This window comes from Homo sapiens, chromosome 9 (genome assembly GCF_000001405.40).
Source record: "Homo sapiens chromosome 9, GRCh38.p14 Primary Assembly".
Classification (NCBI taxonomy): Eukaryota; Metazoa; Chordata; class Mammalia; order Primates; family Hominidae; genus Homo; species Homo sapiens.
The window spans coordinates 32,501,593-32,520,111 of record NC_000009.12 but is presented as its reverse complement, the minus strand read 5'-3'; the positions used below and the strand labels follow the sequence as shown (position 1 = coordinate 32,520,111).

The 18,519-nt window shown below is 38.1% G+C and overlaps 1 protein-coding gene across 7 annotated transcripts in view, besides 2 other annotated features; it reads left to right on the top strand.

Annotated features, from left to right (window-relative positions):
• Positions 1-18,519, top strand: part of RIGI (RNA sensor RIG-I) — a 70,895-nt gene that overhangs the window by 6,085 nt on the left and 46,291 nt on the right. The gene's annotated exons all lie outside the window — the stretch shown is intronic.
• Positions 10,597-11,313: an enhancer, noted in NCBI's record as "H3K27ac-H3K4me1 hESC enhancer chr9:32508797-32509513 (GRCh37/hg19 assembly coordinates)". NCBI's record gives its function as "activates a minimal SCP1, AML or CMV promoter by ChIP-STARR-seq in naive H9 embryonic stem cells {active_cell/tissue: H9 hESC(naive)}" and the evidence as "EXISTENCE:reporter gene assay evidence [ECO:0000049][PMID:30033119]".
• Positions 11,314-12,032: an enhancer, noted in NCBI's record as "H3K27ac-H3K4me1 hESC enhancer chr9:32508078-32508796 (GRCh37/hg19 assembly coordinates)". NCBI's record gives its function as "activates a minimal SCP1, AML or CMV promoter by ChIP-STARR-seq in naive H9 embryonic stem cells {active_cell/tissue: H9 hESC(naive)}" and the evidence as "EXISTENCE:reporter gene assay evidence [ECO:0000049][PMID:30033119]".

Sequence of the window (18,519 nt, the reverse complement as noted above, 5' to 3'; positions counted from 1 at the left end):
GTATCAGTTTTGGAAATTCAATATGAAGATAAATCTTTCATTTAAAAAGTATACAACAAAACAAGGACAAAGTGACAATAAGCACACAGTAATTTCTTTTCAGCTATTTTGAAAGAGCCTCATCATACATTTCCAAGATTGGTTTCTAGATAAAGTACTGACAACTGATTTAAGTGACTTACACCACTAGAATCTTCAAACTGGCATAACACTTGTATGTACATATTTTGTTTTCAAGTATACATGTGAAGGCCCATCAGTGATAAATGGCTTAGGATAAAAAAAACACTAGAAAGTCTTATAATTTTTTTTATGACTTAATCCAAGTAAATGTTATTTAATCTTAATAATAGTAAACACAACTAAATTAGTTTGAGAGAAAGCCCAATCAATATAATTTCCTTAAAGACAAAGCCAATTTTTTTCTGAATATTAAGACTTTGTACCCATATAGCAGTTTTGCCTCATTAAAGGAAAAGATCTGAAACCGCTATTGTTTATTGAATTGAATTACCTTGGAAATAAACACCACTTAAACATTTCTCTCACCTACTTTTCCAAATAACCAATAATAATGTACTATTTCTGTTCAGAACTTAGAAGAATAAACCTTTTATTATTTTTTGCCAGGAATCTTAAAGTTCTTATAGCTCTCTAGTTCATTAGAGGTAAGCAAAACCAAACAAATTTTAAAGGCTGGTGTCCACCAACAATTTTTGGAAGCTTGAAAAAGGTAGCTTAGGAACTTTGGATAAGTAGAGCAAATGATGAGATACTGGAAATGCATAGGAAACAAAATGATTATTCATGGAACCAAATAAAAGCCTTCCTTACATTAGAAACTAAAAGCCATCAATGGTTTTATTAATATGTATATATAAGTAAAACCTAAAGAAGAAGAAACAGCAAATAAATGCAAATTAAAAGAAAAAACAAACAGGAAACCAACCTGAAAATTTTCTACTCAGTTTAACTTGGAGGCTATAGTGTTACCCAGAGCCAAAAAAACACATGATGAATATTTTGTTCCTGATGCACAATTTAATGTCTTTAAGTTCACCAATACCACTATATATTTTGTGCAATTAAGAAATTCACTTTAGGCTGGGCGTGGTGGCTCAGGCCTGTAATCTCAGCACTTTGGGAGGCCAAGATGGGTGAATCACTTGAGGCCAGGAGTTTGAGACCAGCCTGGCCAACATGGTAAAACCCCATCTCTACTAAAAATACAAAAATTGGCCAGGCATGATGGCACACAACTATAATCCCAGCTACTCTGGAGGAGGCCGACCAGTAAGTATTATACTGTAATGATAGTATATCTATGCAGAAGAGCAAATACAGTGTGAAGCAATGCAAGCATGTAGGTGAAATTTGGTTGTTGCTATATCTGGCTTTTATCTGGCTTCATGGTTAACTATATTAAGAAAGGATTGCCAAACTGCCAATGTGTTTCTTTACAATATTTCTTATTTTACTTTCATCAAGACTAAGAGCTTTAACTATGAGCAGTGTTAATTAGCCAGATTTCTCCAATATTCTATCTGGTTTTAAGAGAATATTATTTAAGCCTTTTATACTTTGTATTTTCTCTGTCTGTACATAAAGGTAGACACACAAAGAAATAGGAAAGAAACTACATGACTTACACACACCATCTATGATATGCTTAGACTTTCTGATTTGTCCTGGATTTTCGTTCTTTTTCTTCTTCTTTTTTTTTTTTTAAACAGTCATTTTACTTTAGGACAAAAAAAATACCATTATAAGATGCTTTGTCATACAAAATTATTTTCTTTATAACCTTCCTTACCAAAAATACATCTTTATACTCATAACTTTCTCCACATCTCTCTCGTCTACTTGTTCTTTTCTACCTTGTTTCATAAGTAACCTTTCAAGTCCATAATTATTAATAAACTTTAGATAACTTCTGAGTTAGATAAAATTTTTTTCTGAATAAAAACACATTGTCTTTTGCACATTTTATATATAGAATTACATATGAACTAGAATTCTTATCCTTAGTAACAACCTTAAATTTCAGTAAAAACCTAGGAAGCAAGAAATCTTGAGCTGCCTAGCAGATATTAGTATTTTATAGATGAGAACCATTCCACAATTTTTAGAAACATGTTCCCCACATCATAACCTTTTCTTAATTGGAAATGACTCAAACATCCAATGATTATATTTCCGATTATGCCAAAAGTTCATTTACAGCATTTGACCATTTACATTTTATTTATTTTTAGCAGTTTATCTAGATTATTTCTGCATCATTTCCTTCTTAACCATTTTATAACCTGTGAATGTCAGGTGTTCACCTAAATAACCTTAAAATTAATACGTGGGCATTTTGATCAATAACTCAGAAGATTCAGCTGTTTTCATTAAACTAACAGCATTAAATTAGTCTTATAAAGAATTCACACAAATATTCACTGGGTTTATAGCTTTATAACCTGCTGCCAAACTCTGATACCTCAAATTATCTAGCTGAGACAAATATAAAGCCGAGACAAAAATGTATGCTGACAATTCTGAAGACATTTCTATTTTTATTTTACCAATAATTTTAAAGACAGCTTGTTTATTAAAGATTTACTGAAGTCATGTGAACTTGAAAAACACTTTGGACTTAATTTATGAGCACTCTTATTTATAAGCCAATTTGGTAGGTATAGTGTATAACATAGTTAATGTACATCTAGATAAACACATCTAAACATGTATACACACACAAAGATCCAACAGCTTTTACCTTGGAACTCTAGCCATGAGATAGCAATACAAACTCACGAATCTACAACCAAGTCCACATGGCTAAAATTTGTTTGCTCCAATCGGTAATCCAATGAAGGCTGTGAACCAGAATTTTGGGTAAAGCAGTTTCCATGGCAGTTTGATTTTTAGAAGCTAGATTCCAAAGAAACCTGGGGCCAAACAGCACTACAGAAGAACGTCATGTGGAAACTACTCACCAGGCCCAACCCTGCTTAAAACAGCGGCATAAAAGCCAGAATACATGGGACTCCACCTGGCTTTCCCATTCAACAGCCAACTCCAGATTCCAAAGAATATTGGGGCAAACGTAGTACAAAAGAATATTTGTTTGTTGAATTCTAATTTCCCATTACTATATTGACACATACAATCAACAAAACACAATCCGACTGCTGAAGCAATAGACAAGCCCGAACAGTGTCCAAACTGAAACAGTCGAGGTGCTTTTCTCTCTCAATCGGGCTTTATTAACCTGCAAACAGAAATTTCTTAGGAATTTTCCAAATTGAGAGAAGCCGATCCCACTGTCTGGTACCCAAAAAAGACACTAACTTGGCCAGACACAAACACAGAAATTACAAACACGCTCTCTAGAGTATCATACTGAGAGTCAGGGTGCTTCCCTTTCTTAGTCAGTTGGGCTGGTTTAACCTGCAAATGGAAGCTCCTTTTAAAATTTTCAAATTGAGCAGATCTTGCTGTCTGGGCCAAGAAAGGACACTCACTTATCCAGATGCCAGTGTCACATTTCAAAGGCTGTTCTTCCTAGCAATCAGGAACTCAGCTGGGGCTGGCAGCAGCAGGGCCAGAGAGACCAAAACTCACTTCCAGCCAAAATTGGGTGGGCAGTTGCTTAGGAGGGCTTCTGAGACTCCTAGACCACAGCAACCCAGCCACAAAAATCTGTTACTGAAGCACCAGGGGTTTGGCCTAGGTCCTCCTGGTAGCCACACAGAAAGCCAAACAGGGAGACAACAAGTATTGCCAGGGAAGAAGCCTTTAATTGGGAGCTGTAGCCAAGAAGATGAGAGATTAGTCTCAACTCCATCTCCCTGACCCACTAAAATTAGGGGTTTATATAGCAGGGAAGAAATGTAACTGTGTGGGAAAACAGGAACTCAGGAAGCAATCATGATGAATGAGGGGCCTGGCCTCATTGTCTGGATGTGATAATCTGGTGAATTTCAGTTTGATACTTTTTGAGAGGCCTGGTGGTCTTTTGCCTGAGAAAGGATCTCAGATAAAACAAGTGTAAGCTTCAAGTTTAAAGACCAGAAGGGTCAATTTCTGTTTTTCTGGAATAAATGTCTGTGGGACTGTGGTCAGTTTCAAGATTGCTTTTTGGAGTGTGAGTAGAAAGAGCCTGGGACGGAATCCTGTGCAAGCACTCATTTAAGAGATGAGCAGAGGAGGAAAAGAGACTGGGAAAGAGTGCCACATATGTGGGCAAGGAGGCATCACGGAAACCAAGGGAGAATGATGTGGTGGATAACATGGCTGAATGATGCTGAGAACCCAAGGTCTGTCAGAACTAAAAAAACGTTCCCTTACTTTGGCATTATTGACTTTTGGGGCCACCCACAGGACTAGTTTCTGTGGAATAGGGATGAAGGTAAAGGTATAAGATGGTTGGGAAACTAACTGCAAGAGTAGACTCAGGAATAAATAGAGGGCAAGGAAGTGGAGAAGATAAATGTAGGCAGTTCTTTTGAAAATATGATTCACAAATGAAAAATTACAAGGGAGGTAGTGCTTAATAGTATCTTCACACAAATCCAGTCTATACAATTTGGTTACACTGTGGGTTCCAAGAAAGGAGAGAGAAGACAGAAGCAAAGATAAATGGAAAAAATAGAAAATTTTACTTGTCTGAGAAAGAAACAGCACTTTGCATGTGAGTTTATTGAGAAGGGAATACATTAGTAGGATTTTCATATTTCTCAGATGAAGAAATAATCATGTAAACATTCAGGAAAAACAAACGTGTGGCTTTTTTTTTTTTTTTTTGAGACAGAGTCCTGCTCTGTCACCCAGGCTGGAGTGCAGTGGTCTGATCTCGGCTCACTGCAACATCCACTTCTGGGTTCAAGTGAGATGGGGTTTCACCATGTTGGTCAGGCTGGTCTCGAACTCCTGGCCTTGTGGTCCGCACGCCTTGGCCTCTCAAAGTGCTAGGATTACAGGCGTGAGCCACCATGCCTGGCCACAAATAAGATTACTCAGGTTTCCTCTAACGGAATCAACATCAAGTTGGTCTCTGACTTCTCTGCAACTCTAATGTAACTAAAGAGTAAAACTCTGTGCAGCATTTAAAAGGTAAAACAAAGTTGCCCCTATTTTATATTTAGCCAGGTATTTATGTATGTAAGCAAGAAGAAAACATTATTATATATGTGGGGTCTCATATATATTTCTTACAGAAATTACTGGAAATGTGATTCCAAACAATGGGAACTGAAAAAAATTAGCTTAAAAAAAGGAGTTCTTGTAATGCAAGGATTGGTCGTGAATGTTGAAACTAGGCATGTAGAGTTGATTTTAAATAATTTTATAAATTTGTCCACAAAGGTAAGTGCAATAGTCAAGCATTTCTTTTTTAAATTATACTTTAAGTTCTGGGACACATGTGCAGAACGTGCAGGTTTGTTACATAGGTATACACGTGCCATGGTGGTTTGCTGCACCCATCAAACCATCATCTCCATTAGGTATTTCTTCTAATGCTATCCCTCCCCTATCCTCCCAGCCCCCAACAGGCCCCAGTGTGTGATGTTCCCCTCCCTGTGTCCATGTGTTCTTACTGTTCAACTCCCACTTATGAGTGAGAACATACGGTGTTAGGTTTTCTGTTCCTGTGTTAGTTTGCTGAGAATGATGGTTTCCAGCTTCATCCATGACCCTGCAAAGGACATGAACTCATTCTTTTTTATGGCTGCGTAGTATTCCATGGTGTATATGTGCCATATTTTCTTTATCCAGTTTATCATTGATGGGCATTTGGGTTGGTTCCAAGTCTTTGCTGTTGTGAACAATGCCGCAAGACACATACATGTGCATGTGTCTTTATAGGAGAATGATTTACAATAGTTTGGTATATACCCAGTAATGGGATTGCTGGGTCAAAGGATATCTCTGGTTCTAGATCCTTGAGGAATCACCCACACTGTCTTCCACAATGGTTGAACTAATTTACACTCCCACCAAAAGTGTAAAAGCGTTCCTGTTTCTCCACATCCTCTCCAGCATCTGTTGTTTCCTGACTTTTTAATGATTGCCATTATAACTGGCATGAGATGGTATCTCATTGTGGTTTTGATTTGCATTTCTGTAATGACCAGTGATGATGAGCATTTTTTCATATGTTTGTTCGTGGTATAAATGTCTTCATTTGAGAAATGTCTGCTCATATCCTGCACCCACTTTTTGATGGGGTTGTTTCTTTCTTTTAAATTTGTTTAAGTTCCTTGTAGATTCTGGATATTAGCCCTTTGTCAGATGGATAGATTGCAAAAATTTTCTCTCATTCTGTAGTTTGCCTGTTCATTCTGATGATAGTTTCTTTAGCTGTGCAGAAGCTCTTTAGTTTAATTAGATTCTATTTGCCAATTTTGATTTTTGTTGCCATTGCTTTTGGTGTTTTAGTCATGAAGTCTTTGCCCGTGCCTATGTCCTGAATGGTATTGCCTAGGTTTTCTTCTAGGGACTTTATGGTTTTAGGTCTTACATTTAAGTCTTTAATCCATCTTGAGTTAATTTTTGTCTAAGGTGTAAGGAAGTGGTCCAGTTTCAGTTTTCTGTATATGGCTAGTCAGTTTTCCCAACAACATTTATTAAATAGGGAATCCTTTCCCCATTGCTTCTTTTTGTCAGGGTTGTCAAAGACCATATGGTTGTAGATGTGTGGCATTATTTCTGATGACTGTTCTGTTCCATTGGTCTATATATCTGATAATCTGTTTTGGTAGCAGTACCATGCTCTTTTGATTACTGTAGCCTTGTAGTATAGTTTGAAGTCAGGTAGCATGATGCCTTCAGCTTTGTTCTTTTTTGCTTAGGATTGTCTTGGCTATGTGGGCTCTTTTTTGGTTCCATATGAACTTTAAAGTAGTTTTTTCCAATTCTGTGAAGAAAGTCATTGGTAGCTTGATGGGGATGGCATTGAATCTATAAATTACCTTGGGCAGTATGGCCATTTTCACGATATTGATTCTTCCTACCCGTGAGCATGGAATGTTCTTCCATTTGTTTGTATCCTCTTTTATTTCATTGAGCAGTGGTTTGTAGTTCTCCTTGAAGAGGTCCTTCACATCCCTTGTAAGTTGGATTCCTAGGTATTTTATTCTTTTTGTAGTAATTGTGAATGGGAGTTCACTCATGATTTGGCTCTCTGTTTGTCTGTTATTGGTGTATAGGAATGCTTGTGATTTTTGCACATTGATTTTGTATCCTGAGACTTTGCTGAAGTTGCTTATCAGCTTAAGGAGATTTTGGGCTGAGATGATGGGGTTTTCTAGATATACAATCATGTCATCTGCCAACAGGGACAATTGGACTTTCTGTTTTCCTAATTGAATACCCTTTATTTCTTTCTCTTGCCTAATTGCTCTGGCCAGAACTTCCAACAGTATGTTGAATAGGAGTGGGGAGAGAGGGCATCTTTGTCTTGTGCTGGTTTTCAAAGGAAATGCTTCCAACTTTTGCCCATTCAGTATGATATTGGCTGTGGGTTTGTCATAAATAGCTCTTTATTATTCTGAGATACATTCCATCAATACCTAGTTTATTGAGAGTTTTTAGCATGAAGGGCTGTTGAATTTTATCAACGGCGTTTTCTGCATCTATTGAGATAATCATGTGGTTTTTGTCATTAGTTCTGTTTATGTGATGGATTACATTTATTGATTTGTATATGTTGAACCAGCCTTGTATCCCAGGGATGAAGCAGACCTGATTATGGTGAATAAGCTTTTTGATATGCTGCTGGATTCAGTTTGCCAGTATTTTATTGAGGATTTTTGCATCAATGTTCATCAGGAATATTGGCCTGAAATTTTCTTTTTTGGTTTTGCCTCTGCCAGGTTTTGGTATCAGGGTGATGTTGGCCTCATAAAATGAGTTAGGGAGGAGTCCCTCTTTTTCTATTGTTGGGAATAGTTTCAGAAGGAATGGTATAAGCTCCTCTTTGTACCTCTGGTAGAATTCAGCTGTGAATCCATCTGGTCCTGGGCTTTTTTTGGTTGGTAGGCCATTACTGCCACAACTTGTTATTGGTCTCTTCAGGGATTTGACTTCTTCCTGGTTTAGTCTTGGAGGGTATATGTGTCTAGGAATTTATCCATTTCTTCTAGATTTTCTAGTGTATTTGTGTAGAGGTGTTTATAGTATTCTGTGATGGTAGTTTGTATTTCTGTGGGATCACTGGTGACATCCCCTTTATTATTTTTATTGTATCTATTTGAGTCATCTCTCTCTTCTTCTTTATTAAACTGGCTTGTGGTCTATATATTTGTTAATCTTTTCAAAAAACCAGCTCCTGGATTCACTGATTTTTTTGAAGGGTTTTCTGTGTCTCTATCTCCTTCAGTTCTGCTCTGATCTTAGTTATTTCTTGTCTTTTGCTAGCTTTTGAATTTGTTTGCTCTTGCTTCTCTGGTTCTTTTAATTGTGATATTATGATGTTGATTTTAGATCTTTCCCTCTTTCTCCTGTGGGCATTTAGTGCTATAAATTTCCATCTACACACTGCTTTAAATGTGTCCCAGAGATTCTGGTACGTTGTGTCTTTGTTCTCATTGGTTTCAAAGAACTTATTTATTTCTGCCTTCATTTCATATTTACCCTGTAGTCATTCAGGAGCAGGTTGTTCAGTTTCCATGTAGTTGTGCAGTTTTGAGTGAGTTTCTTAATCCTCAGTTCTAATTTGATTGCACTGTGTTCTGACAGACTGTTATGATTTCCGTTCTTTTGCATTTGCTGAGGAGTGTTTTATTTCCTATTATGTGGTCAATTTTAGAATAAGTATGATGTGGTGCTGAGAAGAATGTATATTCTATTCATCTGGGGTGGAGAGTTCTGTAGATGTCTACTAGGTCAGCTTTGTCCAGAGCTGAGTTCAAGTCCTGAATATTCTTGTTAATTTTCTGTTTTGTTGATCTATTATTGACAGTGGGGTGTTAAAGTCTCCCACTATTATTGTGTGGGAGTCTAAGTCTCTTTGTAGGTCTGTAAGAACTTGCTTTATGAATCTGGGTATTCCTGTATTGGGTGCATATGTATTTAGCATAGTTAGCTCTTCTTGTTGCATTGATCCCTTTACTATTATATAATGCCCTTCTTTCTCTTTTTTGATCTTTGTTGGTTTAAAATCTGTTTTATCAGAGACTGGGATTGCAACCCCTGCTTTTTTTTTTTCTTTCCATTTGCTTGGTAAATCTTCCTCCATCCCTGTATTTTGAGCCTATGTGTGTCTTTACATGTGAGATGGGTCTCCTGAATACAGCACACCAATGGGTCTTGACTCTTTATCCAATTTGCCAGTCTGTGTCTTTTAATTGGGGCATTTAGCCCATTCACACTTAAGGTTAATATTGTTATGTGTGAATTTGATCCTGTCATTATGATGCTAGCTGGTTATTTTGCCTGTTAGTTGATGCAGTTTCTTCATAGTGTCGATGGTCTTTACAATTTGGTATGTTTTTGCAGTGGCTGGTACCAGTTTTCCTTTCCATATTTAGTGCTTCCTTCAGGAGCTCTTGTAAGGCAGGCCTGGTGGTGACAAAATCTCTCAGCATTTGCTTGTCTGTAAAGGATTTTATTTCTTCTTTGCTTATAAATCTTAGTTTGGCTGTATATGAAATTCTGGGTTGAAAATTCTTGTCTTTAAGAATGTTGAATATTGGCCCCCACTCTCTTCTGGCTTGTAGGGTTTCTACAGAGAGATCTGCTGTTAGTCTGATGGGCTTCCCTTTGTGAGTAACTCAACCTTTCTCTCTGGCTGCACCTAACATTTTTCCTCCATTTCAACCTTGGTGAATCTGATGATTATGTGTCTTGGGGTTGTTCTTCTCGAGGAGTATCTTTGTGGTGTTCTCTGTATTTCCTGAATTTGAATGTTGGCCTGTATTGCTAGGTTGGGGACGTTCTCCTGGATAACATCCTGACGAGAGTTTTCCAACTTGGTTCCATTCTCCCCGTCACTTTCGGGTACACCAATCAAACATAGGTTTGGTCTTTTCACATAGTCCCATATTTCTTGGAAGCTTTGTTCATTCCTTTTCATTCTTTTTTTCTCTAATCTTGTCTTCATGCTTTATTTCATTAAATTCATCTTCAATCTCTGATATCCTTTCTTCTGCTTGATTGATTCAGCTATTGATAGTTGTGTATGCTTCACAAAGTTCTCGTGCTGTGTTTTTTGGCTACATCAGGTCATTCAGGTCCTTCTCTAAACTGGTTATTCTAGTTGTCACTCCTCTAACCTTTTTTCAAGGTTTGTAGCTTCCTTGCATTGGGTTAGAACATGCTCCTTTAGCTCAGAGGAGTTTCTTATTACCCACCTTCTGAAGCCTACTTCTGTCAATTTGTCAAACTCATTCTCCGTCCAGTTTTGTTCCGTTGCTGGCAAGGAGTTGTGATCCTTTGGAGGAGAAGAGGATCACATTTTTTTTCTGCCTTTTTGCACTGGCGTTTCCTCATCTTCATGGATTTATCTGCCCTTGGTCTTTCATGTTGGTGACCTTCAGATGAGTTATCTGTGTGGATGTCCTTTTCGTTGATATTGATGATATTCCTGTTTGTTAGTTTTCCTTCTAACAGGCCCCTCAGCTGCAGGTCTGCTGGAGTTTGCTGGATGTCCACTCCAGACCCTGTTTGCCTGGGTATCACCAGTGGAGGCTGCAGAACAGCAAAGATTGCTGCCTGTTCCTTCCTTTGGAAGCTTCCTCCCAGAGGGGCACCTGCCAGATGCCAGCTGGAGCTCTCCTGTATGAGGTGTCTGTTGACCCTGGTAGGAGGTGTCTCCCCACCAGGAGGCACAGGTATCAGGGACCCACTTAAGGAGGCAGTCTGTCCGTTAGCAGAGCTCAAGCACTGTGCTGGGAGATCTGTTGCTCTCTTCAGAGCCAGCAGGCAGCAACATTTAAGTCTGCTGAAGCTGTGCCCACAGCTGCCCTTTTCCCCAGGTGCCCTCTCCCAGGGAAATGGGAGTTTTATCTGTAAGCCCCTGAGTGGGGCTGCTGGCTTTTTTTCAGAGATGCCCTGCCTAGAGTGAGGAATCTAGAGAGGCAGTCTAGCTATAGTGGCTTTGCCAAGCTGCAGTAGGGTCTACCCAGTTTGAACTTCCTGGTGGCTTTGTTTACACTGTGAGGGGAATAGGGCCTACTCAAGCCTCAGTAATTGTGGATGCCCCTCCCCCAACCAAGCTTGAGCATCCCAGGTCAACTTCAGATTGTTGTGCTGGCAGCGAGAATTTCAAGCTAGTGGATTTTAGCTTGCTGGGCTCTGTAGGGGTGGGATTTGCTGTGCTAGACCACTTGGCTCCCTGGCTTCAGCCCCCTTTCCAGGAGAGTGAATGGTTCTGTCTTGCTGGCATTCCAGGTGTCACTGAGGTATGAAAAAAAAAACTGCAGCTAGCTCAGTGTCTGCCCAAATGGCCACCCAGATTTGTGCTTGAAACCCAGATCCCTGGTGGCATAGGCACCGGAGGGAATCTCCTGGTCTGCTGGTTGCGAAGACTTGGGGGGAAAAGCATAGTATCTGGGCCAGGGTGCACTGTTCCTCATGGCACAGTCCCTCATGGCTTCCCTTGGCTAGGGGAGGGAGTTCCCAGACCCCTTGTGCTTCCCAGGTGAGGTGACACCCTACCCTGCTTCAGCTCGCTGTCTGTGGGCTGCACCCACTGTCTATCCAGTCCCAGTGAGGTGAACCGGGTACCTCTGTTGGAAATGCAGAAATCACCCGCCTTCTGTGTTGATCTCTCTGTGAGCTGCAGACCGGAGCTGTTCCTTTTTTGGCCATCTTGCCCTGGTTCCTAGTCAAGCATTTTTTAAGAGAGGATTTTCATATAGTAAAAAAAAAAAAAAAAAAATTAAGTAAATACTTTGGTTTAAAATTTTAGATTGAGTCTGTTAGGAGCTAGGGAAAATTATGATAAATAAGAGTTAAATCCCTTGCCTCAAAAGGGGGAGACTTAAAATATTACCATTTTCCACTTGCTTCTGTAGTTTTAAAAAGCTATATGAATGGTTACAGATAATGATACCATTTAAATGAGGTTTTATATGTTTTGTTGTTCTTGAGAGGAGAAAAGAAACTAGTAATTTAAGCTAACCAGAAAATATAGGAAAGGGAAATATAAACAAGATAACACAAGGAAAACTAGTTATATCAGCTATGGCCATGTAATTAGGTCAAACATCTTTTAAATAGGTGTGAATGAGTCAGAAAGCAGAATCCAGGTTTTGGTCATCTGCCAGAGACCCATGTAAAGTCTAATAACATAAAAAATAAAAATGGGGGCCAGACTTGGCAGCTCATGCCTGTAATTCCAGCACTTTGGGAACCTGAGGTGGGAGGATTGCTTGAGCCCCGAAAATTGAGCCTATGGTGAGCTATGATCATGCTACTGTACTTCTGCTTGGGCAATGGAACAAGACCCTGTCTCATAAATAATAAATAAATAAAAAAGAGATAAAGAAGGGACAAATATATATTAAATAAATGCATACGTAAAGAAAGCAAGAATTATACTTAAATTGCACTAGTGGAAAGTATTAAGATAAAATGATAAAGGTATTGAGATATCAGTGAAGATTTGGTACACATAAATCTTTGTTTATTAAATATTAGAAAACGTCAAGAAATATGGGAATTATAAGATATCTTTATTAGTACTGCTAAGTCAGATAAATGATAATAAAAGCATAAATGATCTGTTTAATAAGGTTGATTTAATGTCTATGTTTTCCATTTTGTATCATATAGCAAATATATCCTTCTCCTCCAATTCTTAAAAAGCTTTGCCAAAGTGATCCTATATGAGTTACAGATAAATATTTAATAAATTCCCAAAGCATAACTTTTATGAGTTTTATTTTCAAATTTGTAGGCTCTGTGATACTGGGCAAATGTCTTAACTCTCGTATGCCTCAGTTTCCTCATTTGTAAAATCAGAATAAAAACCATGTTTGGGTGTTTTGGAAATTAAACTGCATGGTATTAAATTACTGTTAGCTATTATTCTATATCCCAGAAATTAATCATAGGTTTAAAAAAATTTTCACAGAATTTCAAAATAGCATCCTTTTGAGTAACTTCTAGCAGAATGAGAAAATCTAAACAAGTATAGCTACTTTCAAAAGTAAGCACGGCAATCAGCCAACATATTATATATTTTAAGATGTAATAAGCTTTTAATCAGAATTTATAGCCTAAATGGATTTATTGGTATTTCAAAAGAATGAACACTTATGAATTAATTAATTTGACTGAAGTAATTGCAAAAAGAACAGCCAGTTAACTCCAAAGAAAGCAAACTGGCCAAAATAAAGAACAAAAACAAAATTCCCCCAAATTACTGGAACTAACAGAGTTCATTCAGTCTTGTTGCAATAGATACGTAAAATAAAATAAAAACGGAGGCCACGCATTTTTATCTACTGGAAAACAAGTGAGATTATACTGGAAAAACAGTATTTTCATATACTGGAAAAACAAACCAGATTATATAACATTTCCCTAAATGCATAAAAGATTCTTACAAATCCAATTTAGAAAAAAATATGAATGACCTCTCAAAACTAGCTGTGAGACATGAACAGGAAATGTATTAAGAAATAACCAAAACAAAAGACACTGGCCAAAGGTGGAAGAAATCCCACAAGAAATCATTAAAAACAGTGAAGTTTGTTTGTTTGGTCTGTTTTTGTCTCTCAGTTTTGCAAAGGTTATGAAGATTGAGCAAATTCAGTGCTATGGAGGGAAATATCATTCATACACTATCGATGGAGGGTTAGTACAGTTTGGAAGGTAGTTGGGGAAAATGTATTAACATTCATTCCTTCCTTCATTGATTCATTTATTCATTTATGGATTGATTGATTGATTGATTGAGACAGAGTCTCACTCTGTTGCCTATGCTGGAGTGCAGTGGCGCAATCTCAGCTCACTGCAATCTCCACCTCCCAGGTTTAAGTGATTTTCCTACCTCAGCCTCCTGAGTAGCTGGGATTACGGGTGCAAGCCACCACGCCTGGCTAATTTTTCTATTTTTAGAAGAGATGGGGGTTTCACCATGTTGGCCAGGATGGTCTTGAACTCCTGACCTCAAGTGATCCGCCTGCCTTGGCCTCCCAAAGTGCTGGGATTACAGGCATGAGCCACCGCGCCTGGCCTCCACATTTAAAAGCATATACTGTTAAACTGAGGAATTATACTTCTGAGAACTTATTCCAGGGAAAAGTTGGTAAAGCAGGTAAAGACATAGATGGGTGTGTACTAAACGCATTTTAGTTTCGTGTTAAAGGAATACATTAAATTATACTACATTTATGTGACATAAAACTATGCAGCCACTAAAAGTTGATGTAGGTACATATTTATTAATAGGAAACAACACCTGTAATCCACTGAGTGGAAAAGAGCAGATTTGTTAAATCTTACTTATTTAAAACTATATATTTATACACATAATTAGATATGTAGAAGGATGGTTTCTAGAGGATATTACGTGTGATTGAAGATAGTCATACATTTAACAAAAAAAATGCTGAAATGATATGAAGAAAACTATGAAGTCCCTGAAGAGAAATCTGTCTCTGATTTGAGTGAGGAAGAGACAGCCTATGTTTGTGCCTGGGGACTATAGGTTTGTAAACATGTCAATTCTCCCTATGCTAATTTATAGAGTACAATCACAATAAAAATACCGGAAAGTAAGTTAAAAGAAAAAGCACCCTGAAGAACTTCTTAATTTTTAATGTGAAAGATACCCTTGAGGTCTTCTTTTGATTCCCTCTGCAGAGGCAACCATTGTTATGAAGTTGATTTACATTTTTCTTATTTATGCCTTTTTACTTTATAATGTGCATCTCTGTCCACATACCTTTTGGGTTCAACTCCTTTTTCTATTTTCTATTAGATTGATAAAGTTTTTCTCTATTCCCTATTTTTTTCTAGGCTGCTTTGGAGGCTCTGGATTCATTGGTTAACTTTAATTGTGACATATATATTGTATCTATTATATATTTAATATATAAAATATATAATGTATAAAATTATATATTATATATCTATTGTATATAATAGATATATATTTAAACATATATATTATATATAAAATATATATGATATATAATATAGAATAAATATATAATATATATGTTTAAATATATATTATATCTATATATAATAGATATAATATATACTTTTATATATTATATATTTTATGTATTAAATATATTTTATATATTTTATGTATTAAATATATTTTATATATTTTATGTATTAAATATATTTTATATATTTTATGTATTAAATATATTTTATATATTTTATGTATTAAATATATTTTATATATTTTATGTATTAAATATATTTTATATATTTTATATATATTAAATGTATAATATATATATATATGTTTTTGAGACAGCCTTGCTCTGTTGCCTGGGCTGGAGTGCAGTGGTGGGATCTCAGCTCTCAGCTCACTGCAGCCTCCATCTCTGGGGTTCAAGCGATTCTCCTGCCTCAGCCTCCCGAGTAGCTGGGATTATAGGCACTGGCCACCATGCCCGGCTAATTTTTGTATTTTTAGTAGAGACAGGGTTTCACCATGTTGGCCAGGCTAGTCTCGAACTCCTGGACTCAAGTGATCCACCCACCTTGGCCTCCCAAAGTGCTGGGATTACAGGCGTGAGCCACTGTGCCGGGCTGTGACAACTATACTTTATCAGTGAGGATTCAGTCAGGGACCAGAGACACTAATGAGTGTTATGGCTGGATATAAAACTTTTGACTCATATTTTTTTGCCATCCGTGGAAAGCAAAGGGAGCTTATCCACATTCCCCCCGTGCCCACATCCAGCATCTCGTTTACTCTAACCCTCTCTGCAATCAGATATTGTGATTATTGACGCTAGTAACGTCTTGGAAAAGGAGCACTGAAGCCATGTTTCTCCTGGAGAACTTGCATGGTACCCTGGAAGCTGCAGCACTTTTCTCACTCACAGGTTGTCCAGGATGTTTCAAGGCAGACCTGGGTGTGTGTGTGTGTGTGTGTGTGTGTGTGTTTGGAGTCTTGCTCTATTACCCAGGCTGGAGTGGAGTGGCATGATCTCGGCTCATGGCAACTTCTGTCTCCCTGGTTCAAGTGATTCTCCTGCCTCAGCCTCCCGAGTAGCTGGGATTATAGGCACCAGCCACCGCGCCTGGCTAATTTGTGTATTTTTAGTAGAGACGGGGTTTCACCATGTTGGCCAGGCTGGTCTTGAACTCCTGACCTCAAGTGATCCACCCACCTTGGCCTCCCAAAGTGGTGGGATTAGAGGTGTGAGCCACTGTGCCCAGCTGCAGATTTTTTATAGTATTTTGGAGTCAAAGGCCAACCATGATTCTGGAGGGGCACCAGGTGGGCAGTATTCTGAGTATCCATTCCTTTGGTAGCACTTTCTGGACACATGCGTGAGCCAGGTACTGTGCTGATGATCACAAGACAAATGTTCCAAGTCACAGTTTCAGGTGGAAGACAGGCCCACATTTACTATATACTATGCAGTGTAAGTACTTTAGTCAGTAGTCAATAAAGAGCTTTAGTCAGTAAGGAGACTGAGAAAGCAGAGAAGGGATCAAGAAATTCTACCTTGAGAAGCTGAGGTTTGACATCACAATGGGCCCCAGGACAGCAAAGGCAGTGGGAAATACTGTCAAAGATGAAGTTTTGTCTGCATTGTTGGTGCTTTTGAGGAAATTGTCACTACTCTGTAGCAGCAGATATTGGGGCCAGGTAGTAGAAGGATGGGCCTGACCACATGCAAAGTAAATGTGAACTGCCCAGCATACTGCAAGGCAGTTTATCTGGGAAGGCGGTAGCTGTGGCTGGGATAAATTTGCATCTCCACGTGGAATATCTGTAATGGCTGTTAGCATGTTGAAAGGAAGCTCAAGCAGCAGGGAGGCCTGGGAACAAAAGTACAGCTGTAAGGAATGGGCTTAGGAACAGAATGAACTGACTCAATGGAATACGGTAGGATTGTGGGTCCAGGGAAGCTGGGATAGGTGACAAGATAGGTTGCTGTTATGAGTTGAATTGTGTCCCCCTACCCAAAATATATGTTAAAGTCCTAAACCCCAGTACTTCAGAATGTGATTTATTGGGAGACTGTTTCTTTACAGAGGTAATTAGTTACGATGAGGTCATACTAGAGTAGGGCAGGCCCCTAGTTCAATATGACTGGTGTCCCTCTAAGAAAACAGCCATGTGAAGACATAGAGACAACGAGAATGCTGTGTGAAAACATAGGCAGAGATTGGAGTGATGTGGCCACAAGCCAGAGAAACAGAAGGCAAAGTTGGAGGGAGTGTTGTCACAAGCCAAGGAATGCCAGCAGCTACCAGAAACCGGAAGGGCAAGGAATGCATTCTCCCCAGAGCCTTCAGAGGAAGCATGACTCTGCTAACACCATGATTCACAATTCTGGCCTCCAAGAACAGAGAGAATAAGCCTCTATTGTTTAAACCACCTGGTTTGTCCTAATTCGTTATTGCAGCCACAGGAAACTAATACAGAAGGCTAAAATGAAAACGATGGTAAGAAGTACTGTCAAGGATGTGTGGAAATTGGAATCCTCTTAGATTACTGGTGGGAATGTAAGATGGTGCAGCTCCTTGGGAAAATGGTTTGACAATTCCCTATAATGTTAAAAATGGAGTTACCATAAGAACTAGAAATCTCACACCTATGTGTGTACTCAAGAGAAATGAATATATACATCGTCACATAAAATTGCTCATGAATGTTCATAGCATGTCTATTTGTAATAACCAAAATGTGGACACAAATCAAATGCCCACTGATGAGTGGATAAACAAAATGTGGTGTATCCATACAGTGGGATATTATTTGGCAATAAAAAGGAATGAATAATAACGTGCTACAACATGGTTAAACCTTAAAAACATTATGCAAAGTAAGAGGCCAGACATAGACTATGTATTGTATGATTCCATTAATATGAAATGTGTAAAATAGGCAAATCCATGGAGACTCAATTTGATTAGTGTTTGCCTGGGGCTAAGGAGAGGGAGAGTAGGGAATGACTGCTAATGGATATAGGTTTTCTTTTTATAGTGATGAAAATGTACTAAAATAGTAGTCATGGATTCACAGTTCCAAAAACCATTGAATTTTATTTTTTGAAAGGGTTGATTTTATTGTTGTCAAGACAGAGACCTTGGCAGAGATCCTTTTAAGTAGAGCAAGATTATAAGGCATTCCTTCTTCTCTTCCTTCATTCATTAAACATACCTTTGTTTATTGTCTATTACGTGCTAGGTCTTCTTCTAATCTATGAGAATATAGTGGTTCACCAGCCTGACAACTTGCTTACTCCCTTGGAATTTGCATTCCATCAACAATGGGAAAGAAAACCCAGAAAATTATCAAGTATCAGGTCATACCATGGTAGCATTTTTATTACTACTCCCTGGGCATGAAATTAGTGTACAAAGTTAGAATGA